At 36.0% G+C, this 12,822-nt stretch overlaps 1 protein-coding gene across 2 annotated transcripts in view; it reads left to right on the top strand.

Moving 5' to 3' along the window:
• RTL4 (retrotransposon Gag like 4) overlaps nt 1-12,822 on the top strand; it is a 374,502-nt gene that overhangs the window by 339,989 nt on the left and 21,691 nt on the right. The window contains exon 4 of one of the 2 annotated variants that reach the window (NM_001395362.2): nt 8,113-8,167. The exons of the other annotated variant lie outside the window; for it this stretch is intronic. The gene's annotated coding sequence lies outside the window, so the exon portion shown is untranslated. The remainder of the gene's footprint in view (nt 1-8,112; nt 8,168-12,822) is intronic. 2 annotated transcript variants of the gene reach the window in all.

The raw sequence follows: 12,822 nt of genomic DNA on the forward strand, positions 1-12,822 counted from the left end.
AATATTTTGTCCCACATTGCTGGGTGGAATTATGTTTGGCTCAAAATAATATTTAAATTGAGTGATTAATTTACAAGCATGTCTTTGTGTTGTTTTATTTCATTGTGTGTGGGGGGGGGATGGGATTCCTATGATTTTTATGCCAAAATGTAAATGACAGGAGAATCAATTGACTCACTCCTTAACCATGTGTCTGGTGATAGATCAATTCCTTTCAGGTATAGATAAAGGGACTTGGTCGATGCATGTGGATTATGGATGTATGAAGGCAAAGCAACTTACCGATCTCCCCAAGTACTTAGCTGTCAACTCAAACTAGTCTTTGACAGGAAAGGAAGTGGAGGTTCATAGATTCTATTGGTCAATAGCACCCCCTGCCCCCCGCCCAAGTGCCCTGGTTATATAGCATGAGCTTACATACAAAGATCAAATAATACTCCAGTTTTATGGAAGACTCAATCCACTCAGACCATTAGGCTGTACTAAAAATGGATTCTTTTATAAAGAAGTTCTGGGCTGTCACCTGAAAATTGTATCTTTACCTCTATGTGAAACTCTCATTGCAAGGAACCTAGAAGTTTGTGCTTGATAAATCCCATACTGACCAACTGTACTCAACATTTTGTGCTGTATTGACTTCTTGTTTTGGCCACCTTGTGTTCTTGATTCTTGTTTTAGGGGATGTTTCTAGTTTCCTAGGGCTCCACAAGGATGTCTCATGAGCTTCCTTATGTGATTTTAAAAGTGGTCTTGCTACAAATGAATTAATGCAAAATTTGAAAAATATACTATGTGGTTTATCTTCCCTGGCTTCAAATCCCTATTTCATTCAAACTAGTACATTTGTCAATTGACATCTTGCCCAGGTCCTGGGGCTGTACTTACTTAACATCCTACCTATCTAATATCCTAAAACCCAGAATTTGGTCATAACTTACATGGGTTGTACTTTCCCATGTTTTCTCTCTCTGCCAGTTTCATTTTCCAATCAGGATACTCAGTCCCGATTGCTGAAACCAGTCTTTAGTTCGTGTACCTGATGTCTGGGATGATTTTGTAAACTCCCCTCATAGAGTAATCAGAATCAACCATATAAATCCAAAAGGACAGTTTTTTCCAGTTGGAACTTAATACTTGTAGACTTAATATAAATGAAAGAACATAAATTAATTCAAATACAGTTATAACAACCCCAGGACATGCCGGGAAGAGTGTTGATGAAAAATCTTTAATAAATATGCTATTTACAAGGCAGCAAATGCACAGATGTTGTTAATATCTTTGGGGAGCTTTGGCTTTAACAGAATTATTTCCACTTACAGATTCTCTTTGGTCTAGCTAAACACAATCTGATTAACCTTCTGGACTTTGAGTTGTAGAAAAGTTCACAGGCATTGCAAACCACTCATTGAAAACATAAAGTCTGATTATCATTGTGTGAGGAGGTTGAAAATAAATCTTCTGGTAACTGCTACATCTGAGGTTGTAGTGAATGATCTTCTTGGATTAGTACCCAAGACATGAATCTTTCATGTGCACAGTTCTGCTAAGGTTGCAACTAATCTGAAGCATACTGGGTAGCAATTTAATAAATGGCCCCATGTGAGAAGCAGGTTAAAAGCACTAATGTCATAATGTCTACCTAGGAAAAAGGCTTTCGATTGCCTGGATTTTCTTTTTTTCTAACATATGGGAAAGGTATAGAAAGAGTAGGGCTGGGAATTTAAGAAATATTTTACTGAAGTTGGTTTTTTTACATTAATATATTTTATTTTTAGAGCAGTTTTAGGCTCATAACAAAATTGAGCAGAAAGTACAGAGAGTTCTCATATATTCTCTGACCCCCTCGCCTCCCACAAACTCCCCCATTATCAACATCCTGCACCATAGTGGTACATTTTTTATGATGGATGAAGCTACATTGATGCATTATTATCATCCAAAGTCCATGGTTGACATTAGGATTCACTCTTGCTGTTGTACATTCTATGTGTTTTGATAAATGTATAATAGCATGTATCTATTGTTGTACTATTGTACAGTATAGTTTCACTGCCCTAAAATCCTCTGTGCGCTGCCTATTCATCCCTCCCTTTCCTCTAGCCCCTGGCAATCACTGATCTGTCTACTTTCTCTGTACCTTTGCCTTTTCCAGAAGGTCATATAGTTGGAACTATACAGTAATAACCTTTTTAGATTGACTTCTTGCACTTTGTAATATGCATTTAAGTTTCCTTTATGTGTTTTCATGGCTTCGTTGCTCATTTCTTTTAGTGCTGAATAATATTACATTATCTGGATGTACCCCAGTTTATTAATTGAGTCGCTTTTATTAATCTTGGTTACTTCCAAGTTTTGGTAATTATGAATAAAGCTACTGTAAACATCAGTGTGCAAATTTTTGTAAGGACTTAAGTTTTCAATTCCTTTAGGTAAGTACCAAGGAGTGTAATTGCTGGATCATATGGTAAGAGGACGATTAGTTTTGTAATAAACCACCAAACTGCCTTCCATAGGGGTTGTACTGTTTTGCATTCTCACCAGCAATGAATAAGAGTTCCTGTTGTCCACATCCTGTCCAGCATTTGGTGTCGTCAGTGTTTGGGATTTTTGGCTACTCTAATAGATATGCAGTAATAACTCACTGTTATTTTAATTTGCAATTCTCTAATGACATATGATGTTGAATACCCTTTTATATGCTTTCCTACCATCTATATATCTTCTTTGGTGAGATATCTGTTCAGATATTTTGCTTACTTTTTAATCAGGTTTTTAAAAATTTCCTTATTGTTGAGTTTTAAAGATTCTTGGTATATTTTGGACAACAGTCCTTTATCAGCTGTGCCTTTTATAAATATTTTTCCCAATCTTCAGCTTATCTTCCCACTCTCTTAACATTGTCTTTCACAGAGCAGAAGGTTTTTATTTTAATGAAGTCCAGCTTCTCAATTATTTATTTCTTGGTTTGCACATATGATGTTGTATCTAAAGTCATCGCCATATCCAAGGTCATAAAGGTTTTCTCCTATATTGTCTTCTGGGAGTTTTATTGTTTTTCATTTTTAATTTAGGTCTATGATACATTTAGTGTTAATTTTTTGACATGTATAAGGTCTGTGTTTAGATTCATGATTTTTGCATGTGGATGTCCAGTTGTTCTAGCACCATTTGTTGAAAAGACTGTCTTTACTCCAGTGTATTGCCTTTGTGCTTTTATCAAAGATCAGTAGGCTATATAGGTCTATTTCTGAGATCTCTATTCTATTTCATTAATTTATTCATTTATTCTTTCACCAATACCACATTGTTATCTTTATATTAAAATTTGAAATCCAGTAGTATCAGTCCTCTGATTTTGTTCTTCTCCATATACATTTTAGAATTAGTCTGATGATAGCCACTAAACAGCTTGCTATGATTTTTGATTTGGGATTGTGTTGAATACATAGATCAAGTTGGAAAGAACTGACATCTCGAACATATTGAATCTTCCTATCCTTGAATCTGGAATAGCTCTTTATTTATTTAGTTCTTCTTTTACATATTTTATCAGAGTTCTGTAGTGCTTCTATAAGGATCTTGTACATGTTTTTAAAGATTTATACCTAAGTATTTTATTTTGGGGGTGCCAGTGTAAACGGCAATGTGTTTTTAATCTCAAATTCCACTTGTTAATTGCTGTTATATAGGAAAGCAGTCAGATTTTTCTACATAGATGATCATATCACCTGCAAAAAAAGAAGTTTTATTTTTTATTCCCTATCTATCTATATTTATTTCATTTTCTTGTCTTGTTATATTAGGTAGGGCTTTCAGTACAACGTTGAACAAACCTACATGTTCTGCACTTGCATCCCGGAACTTAAAGTAAAACAAAACAAAATGAAATGAAATAAAATCAGAATAGGCCTGTATCTGTTAAAAAAATCAAATAAACAAGTAATTACCTCCAAAAAACAGAAGGCACCAGGCCCAGATGAGTTTAGCAGTGAATTCTACAAAACATTAAAGAAAGAAATTATACCAATTCTCTACAATATCTTCTAGAAGATATAAGCAAGGGAAATACTTCCTAACTCTTACATGAGAACAGCATTACTCTAATATTAAAACCAGATAAAGTCATTACAAGCAAAGAAAACTGAGGCCCAATATTTCTTATAAGCACAAATGCAATAATCTTTGACAAAATATTAGGGAACAAAATCCAACAATGTATAAAAATCATTACACACTATGACCAACTGGGATGTATGCCAGGTACCCAAGGCTGGTTCAACATTCAAAAATCAATTAATGTAATCCTTCACATCCATAGGCTAATAAAGAAAAACATCACATGATCATATCAAGAGATGCAGAAAAGCAGGTTGACAAAATCGAACATCTATTCCTGGGAAAAATTCTCAGCCAACTAGGAATAGAGAAAAAAACCTCTCAATTTGATAAAGAACATCCTTATCTATTGCTTACCTAGAGCTAACATCATACTTAATATGAGAAACTCAAAGTTGTCCTGCTAAGATCAGGAACAAAGCAAGGTGTCATCTCTCACTACTAGTTTTCAACGTTGTACTGAATAATTTTTACTATTTATTTTCTCCTACTTTGGATTTTTTTCTTATTTTTCTAGTTTCCTAATTAATAATTTAAAATTTTTCTTCTTTTCTAATATATGCATTTAATGTTATAAATTTCCCTTTAAGAACTGCTTTTGCTGCATTCCACAACTTCTGATAAAATGTGTTTTAATTTTTTTATTTTGTTATTTTATTATTATTTCAGTAGTTTCTGTGGTACAGGTGGTTTTGGGTTACATGGATCAATTCTTTAGTGGTGATTTCTGGGATTTTGGTGTACCTATCACCCGAGCAGTGTATACAGTACCCAATATGTAGTCTTTTATCCCTCATCCCCCTCCCACCCTTCCCCTCTGAGTCCCCGAAGTCCATTATATTATTCTCACACATTTGCATCCTCATAGCTTAGCTCCCACTTGTAAGTGAGAACATGTGATATTTGGTTTTCCATTCCTGAGTTACTTTACTGAGAATAATGGCCTCCAGTTCCATCCAAGTTGCTGCAAAATACATTATTTTGTTCTTTTTCATGGCTGAGTAGTATTCCATGGTGTATATATACCACATTTTCTTTATCCATTCATTGGTCAGTGAGCACTTAAGTTGGTTCCATATCTTTGCAATTGCAAATTGTGCTTTTATAAACGTGTGCACATTCATCTTTTTCATATAATGACTTCTTTCCCTTTGGGTAGATACCCAGTAGTGGAATTGCTGGATCAAATGGTAGTTCTATTTTTAGTTCTTTAAGAAATCTCCATACTGTATTTTCATTTTTATTTAGTTTAAAATATTTTTAAAATTTCTCTGAAGATGTCCTCTTTGACCCATGTATTTTTTAGAACTGGGTTGTTTAATCTCCAAGTATTTGGGATTTTCCAGCTACCTTTCTGTTATTTATTTTTGGTTTAATTGTACTGTGGTCTTAAAGCAGACATTGCATGATTTCCATAACTTTAAATTTGTCAAGGGGTATTTTCTGACCCACAGTGTAGTCTATCTTGATGAATGTTCCATGTGATCTTAAGAAGAATGTAGATCCTGCTGTCAGGTGAATTTTTCTATAGATGTCAATTGTATAGAGTCGTTTGATGGTGCTTTTGAGTTCAACTATGTCCTTGCTGATTTTCTGCCTGCAAGGTCTGTCCTTTTCTAAGATAGAAATGTTAAAGTCTCCAACTATAACAGTGGATTCATCTATTTCTTCTTGCAATTCTATCAGTTTTTGCCACAGGTATTTGGAGACTCTCTCATTAGGCACATATACACTAAAGATTGCTAGGTTTTCTTGTGTTGTCCCTGTATTTTTCTGTAATTCCCCTTTACCCCTAATAACTTTCCTTGCCCTGAAGTCTGCTGTGTCTTAAATTAATATAGCTACTCCTACTTTTAAAATGAGTGCTAGAATGGTATGTCTTTCTTCTTCCCTTTACTTTTAATCTAAATGTGTCTTTATATTTAAAGTGGATTTCTTGTAGACAACATATACTTGGGTCTTGTTTTTCGATACACTCTGACAGTCTGTCTTTAAATTGAGGTAATGAGACCATTGATGTTTAAGGTGATCATTGACATGGTTGGATTAATATCTACTATATTGTTACTGTTTTCTTTTTATTGCCCGTGTTCTTTGTTTCCTCTTTTATCTTCCACAGATTTTCAGCCTTTTTTTGGTTTTAATTAAACATCTTATGAGATTCCCTTTTCTCTCCTTTCTTAGAATATTAATTTTATTTCCTTTTATAATTTTTACCCTTTTATAATTTTTAATGGTTGCCTTAGTGTTTGCAATATACATTTATAACTAACCCAAGTTGACTTTTAAATAACACCATACCATTTCATGGATAACACAAGTACCTTATAATAACGAAATATTCCTAATTCCTCCCTCATTTCCCTTGTATCATTGTTGTCATGTATTTCACTTATACCTAGGCATACATAAGCAAATTTATGTTGCCATTATTATTTAAAACAAACTGTTGTCAGTTAGATCAGTTAAGCCAAAAAAAAAATAAAAATTTTTATTTCACCTTTACCTATTACTTTTCTAATACTCTTCCTTATTTTATGTAGATCTGGGTTTCTGACGAATACCATTCTGCTCTCTACAACACTTAGCATTTGTTGCAAGGCATGTCTACTGGCAACAAATTTCCTCAATTTTTTTTTCATCTGAGAAATTATTTTTTTCCTTCACTTTCAAAGGATAATTTTACAGTGTATAGAATTCTATGTTGGGAGAGGAGTTTTCTGTTAACATCTTAACTATTTCACTCTACTCTCTTCTTGCTAGCATGGTGTCTGAATAGAAATGTGATGTAATTCTTATTTTTGTTTCTCTATAGATAAGACTTTTTTTATCTCTTGCTTCTTTGAGGATATTTATTTATCTTTGATTTTCTCAAGTTTAAATATAATATGCCTAGGTGTATTTTCTGGCGTTTATCATGCTTAATGTTCTCTGAGATCACTGGATCTGTGGTTTGGTGTCTGCCATTAATTTGAGGAAAATTCTCAGTCATTATTGTTTCAAATGTTGCATTTGTTCTTTTCTCTTTTTCCTCTCCTTCTGGTATTCTCATTACATAGGTGTTATGCATTTTTCATTTTCCCACAGTTTTTGGATATTCTGTTCTGGAGAGTTTTTTCTCGGTCTTTTTTCTTTATTCTTTTTTCAAATTGAGAAGTTTCTATTATGATTTTTTTAAGCTCATAGATTCCATCCTCTGCTATGTCCAGTATATTAATTAGGTCATCAAAGGCATTCTTCATTTCTGTTCCAGCGTTTTTTATATATGGCATTTCTTTTTCTTTCTTAGAATTTTCATCTCTCTGCTGACATTATCCATCTGTTCTTGAACGTTACCTGCTTTTCCAATTAAAGCCTTTAGCATATTTATCATGGTTTTAAAAATTTATTGTTCTGATAATTCCAACATTACTGCCATATCTGACTCTGGCTCTGATGCTTGTCTGTTTTCTTCACGATGTGTTATTTTTTTATCATTTTTTCTTGAGACGGATTCTCACTCTGTCACCCAGGCTGGAGTGCAGTGGCACAATCTCGGCTCACTGCACTGGGCACTTTCTGGGCACAAGCAATCCTCCCACATCAGATTCTGGGATTACAGCTGGGATTACAGGTGCAAGCCATCATGCCCTGCTCATTTTTTTGTATTTTTTGTAGCGATGGAGTTTCACCATGTTGCCCACGCTCTTCTAGAACTTCTGGACTCAAACAATCCACCTGCCTCAACCTCCCATAGTGTTGGGATTACAGGCATGAGCCACCATGCCCATATCTTTTAGTATGCCTTGTAATTTTTTGTTGAAAGATAGATATGATGTATTGGGCAAAAAGATCTGTGTCAAAAAGGCCTTTAGTAATGTAGCAGTAAGGTGGAGGGGAAGAGTTAGCATTCCATAGTCCTATGATTAGGTATCAGCCCTTTAATAAGCATATGCCCCTGGACTGTGAACTTCACCAGTGTTTCTGTTTTCTTTTTTCTCTCTCTCTCTTTAGGTACCACAGGATGACTGAAGGGGTTTGGATTTGTATATTTCCCTTCTCCTACATGGTAGGTTGGAGGGGGCTGGATTTGCATATTTCCTTTCATCCAGGAAGATTAGGCTTTGGTACAACCCTAGCTTGTTAGGCTCTGGTGAAAAAAAAAAGTTTTTGTTAAAGGCAGGCATTGTTAAGAAGAACAGAATGCTCTGGCTTATTTTAAAATGTTTCATATTTCTTCTCTACCAGAAGAATAAAGGGAATTTTCTACAGTATTCACTGTGAGGACCTAGTAGAGCTCCTGGTAATAAAACTTACAAAAATGTGGAAGCCCCATGACAGAGTCGCCCTGGAGTTTTTAACCCTTGCTTGTCCACATTAAGCCTCCAGCAATTTGTCAATTACAATTCAGGTTTTCCTACTGCAGCACTGGTTCCTATGGAAATTTCTGCTCCTGGGTTTCTGCTTTTGTATGTTGGAATTCTCTCCATCTGCCTGTCTGTCTCTCTAATTTAGGGGGCAGCAGTTTGCCCTGTGACCTCACTTCTCTGACACATTTAAGAAGAGTTGTTTGTCTTTTTCAGTTTGTTTAGCTTTTTATTTGTTGTTAGGCCTGAGTGGTTCTTTTTTTTTATTTTATTATTATTGTATGTTAAGTTTTAGGGTACATGTGCACAATGTGCAGGTTAGTTACATTTGTATACATGTGCCATGCTGGTGTGCTGCACCCATTAACTCGTCATTTAGCATTAGGTATATCTCCTAATGCTATCCCTCCCCCCTCCCCCCACCCCACAACAGTCCCCAGAGTGTGATGTTCCCCTTCCTGTGTCCATGTGTTCTCATTGTTCAATTCCCACCTATGAGTGAGAATATGCGGTGTTTGTTTTTTTGTTCTTGCGATAGTTTACTGAGAATGATGATTTCCAATTTCATCCATGTCCCTACAAAGGACATGAACTCATCATTTTTTATGGCTGCATAGTATTCCATGGTGTGTATGTGCCACATTTTCTTAATCCAGTCTATCATTGTTGGACATTTGGGTTGGTTCCAAGTCTTTGCTATTGTGAATAGTGCCACAATAAACATATGTGTGCATGTGTCTTTATAGCAGCATGATTTATAGTCCTTTGGGTATATACCCAGTAATGGGATGGCTGGGTCAAATGGTATTTCTAATTCTAGATCCCTGAGGAATCACCACACTGACTTCCACAATGGTCGAACTAGTTTACAGTCCCACCAACAGTGTAAAAGTGTTCCTATTTCTCCACATCCTCTCCAGCACCTGTTGTTTCCTGACTTTTTAATGATTGCCATTCTAACTGGTGTGAGATGGTATCTCATTGTGGTTTTGATTTGCATTTCTCTGATGGCCAGTGATGGTGAGCATTTTTTCTTGTGTTTTTTGGCTGCATAAATGTCTTCTTTTGAGAAGTGTCTGTTCATGTCCTTTGCCCACTTTTTGATGGGGTTGTTTGTTTTTTTCTTGTAAATTTGTTTGAGTTCATTGTAGATTCTGGATATTAGCCCTTTGTCAGATGAGTAGGTTGCGAAAATTTTCTCCCATTTTGTAGGTTGCCTGTTCACTCTGATGGTAGTTTCTTTTGCTGTGCAGAAGCTCTTTAGTTTAATTAGATCCCATTTGTCAATTTTGTCTTTTGTTGCCATTGCTTTTGGTGTTTTAGACATGAAGTCCTTGCCCATGCCTATGGCCTGAATGATATTGCCTAGGTTTTCTTCTAGGGTTTTTATGGTTTTAAGTCGAATGTTTAAGTCTTTAATCCATCTTGAATTAATTTTTGTATAAGGTGTAAGGAAGGAATCCAGTTTCAGCTTTCTACATATGGCTAGCCAGTTTTCCCAGCACCATTTATTAAATAGGGAATCCTTTCCCCATTTCTTGTTTTTCTCAGGTTTGTCAAAGATCAGATAGTTGTAGATATGCGGCATTATTTCTGAGGGCTCTGTTCTGTTCCATTGATCTATATCTCTGTTTTGGTACCAGTACCATGCTCTTTTGGTTACTGTTGCCTTGTAGTATAGTTTGAAGTCAGGTAGTGTGATGCCTCCAGCTTTGTTCTTTTGGCTTAGAATTGACTTGGCGATGCGGGCTGTTTTTTGGTTCCATATGAACTTTAAAGTATTTTTTTCCAATTCTGTGAAGAAAGTCATTGGTAGCTTGATGGGGATGGCATTGAATCTATAAATTACCTTGGGCAGTATGGCCATTTTCATGATATTGATTCTTCCTACCCATGAGCATGGAATGTTCTTCCATTTGTTTGTATCCTCTTTTATTTCCTTGAGCAGTGGTTTGTAGTTCTCCTTGAAGAGGTCCTTCACATCCCTTGTAAGTTGGATTCCTAGGTATTTTATTCTCTTTGAAGCAATTGTGAATGGGAGTTCACTCATGATTTGGCTCTCTGTTTGTCTGTTATTGGTGTATAAGAATGCTTGTGATTTTTGTACATTAATTTTGTATCCTGAGACTTTGCTGAAGTTGCTTATCAGCTTAAGGAGATTTTGGGCTGAGACAATGGGGTTTTCTAGATATACAATCATGTCATCTGCAAACAGGGACAATTTGACTTCCTCTTTTCCTAATTGAATACCCTTTATTTCCTTCTCCTGCCTAATTGCCCTGGCCAGAACTTCCAACACTATGTTGAATAGGAGTGGTGAGAGAGGGCATCCCTGTCTTGTGCCAGTTTTCAAAGGGAATGCTTCCAGTTTTTGCCCATTCAGTATGATATTGGCTGTGGGTTTGTCATAGATAGCTCTTATTATTTTGAAATACGTCCCATCAATGCCTAATTTATTGAGAGTTTTTAGCATGAAGAGTTGTTGAATTTTGTCAAAGGCCTTTTCTGCATCTATTGAGATAATCATGTGGTTTTTGTCTTTGGCTCTGTTTATATGCTGGATTACATTTATTGATTTGCGTATATTGAACCAGCCTTTCATCCCAGGGATGAAGCCCACTTGATCATGGTGGATAAGCTTTTTGATGTGCTGCTGGATTCAGTTTGCCAGTATTTTATTGAGGATTTTTGCATCAATGTTCATCAAGGATATTGGTCTAAAATTCTCTTTTTTGGTTGTGTCTCTGCCCGGCTTTGGTATCAGGATGATGCTGGCCTCATCAAATGAGTTAGGGAGGATTCCCTCTTTTTCTATTGATTGGAATAGTTTCAGAAGGAATGGTACCAGTTCCTCCTTGTACCTCTGGTAGAATTCGGCTGTGAATCCATCTGGTCCTGGACTCATTTTGGTTGGTAAGCTATTGATTATTGCCACAATTTCAGAGCCTGTTATTGGTCTATTTAGAGATTCAACTTCTTCCTGGTTTAGTCTTGGGAGGGTGTATGTGTCGAGGAATTTATCCATTTCGTCTAGATTTTCTAGTTTATTTGCATAGAGGTGTTTGTAGTATTCTCTGATGGTAGTTTGTATTTCTGTGGGATCGGTGGTGATATCCCCCTTATCATTTTTATTGTGTCTATTTGATTCTTCTCTCTTTTCTTCTTTATTAGTCTTGCTAGCGGTCTATCAATTTTGTTGATCCTTTCAAAAAACCCGAGTGGTTATTTCTAAAGCTTCTTACCTGCTGGACCAGAAACCAGAAGTAAAGCTTGGAATTTTAGAAACAAATTATTGTTATCTTCTGGGCACTTTGTTTACCATGGATCTCTTCGGCATCAGCTTAGTGAGTCTTGGGTATATTAGTCTGTTCTCACACTGCTGTGAGGAAATATCCGAAACTGGGTAATTTATAAAGGAAAAGGGATTAATTGACTCACAGTTCTGCATTGCTGGGAAGGCCTCAGGAAGCTTACGTCAGGTGGGAGGCAAAGGAGAAGCAGGCACCTTCTTCATATGGCAGCAGTATGGAATGAGTGCAAGCAGGGGGAAATGCTGTAAATGCTTATAAAACCATCAGATCTCATGAGACTCACTCATTGTCATGAGAACAGCATGGGGGAAACTGCCTCCATGATCCAATTACCTCCACCTGGTCCCATCCTTAATACTTGGGGATTATGAGAATTACAATTCAAGGTGAGATTTCGGTTGGGACACAGAGCCAAAACCATATTACTGGGTAAAGTCACACTAATATTAGTCCACCACCCCACCACCAACCAACACTACCAAGCATCCTTGTATACTGACAACCCCTTGCACATGTTTCAATTCTTCAGAACATGCTCAGATTGAATGTCCACTGTGTATTCATTCAGTTTTCTCAAGGAGATAGCTGCATGTTTTTGGAGTGCCTGTGTGATTATTTATAATTTATGGTACAACCTTTTTTGCAGTTACTATTAGTATCTTCTTGAGAGTTCTAAAAAATAACATTACTGTCTTTGGGGAGAATTTGTTTTCATTGTAGGAAAATACATTTCGTAAAGGCAATAAATTTGAAAGAAGTAATTGCTAACAAACTCCCATGCCCTCATGATACATCTCCAAGTAATTGGATTCCCTTGAATTTGAGCTCATTCTCAGTAGGAGAGATGGAGGTAAAAGGAAAGTGGAAAGTTCAGAAGGTAAAGCTCAAGAAAAACTCAGTGTTAGAAGGAAGCTAGAAAAAGTCCGAAAAGAGACAAGTGATATTATCTTGAGAACTATTGACAAAGCATAAACAAAAAACTTTTAAAATTTGTTTTTTAAGCTTCATTTTTGCCTAAGGATATAATTCATTAGGTTATTAAATCC

The sequence above is a fragment of the Homo sapiens genome, chromosome X (assembly GCF_000001405.40).
Source record: "Homo sapiens chromosome X, GRCh38.p14 Primary Assembly".
NCBI classification, from domain to species: domain Eukaryota; kingdom Metazoa; phylum Chordata; class Mammalia; order Primates; family Hominidae; genus Homo; species Homo sapiens.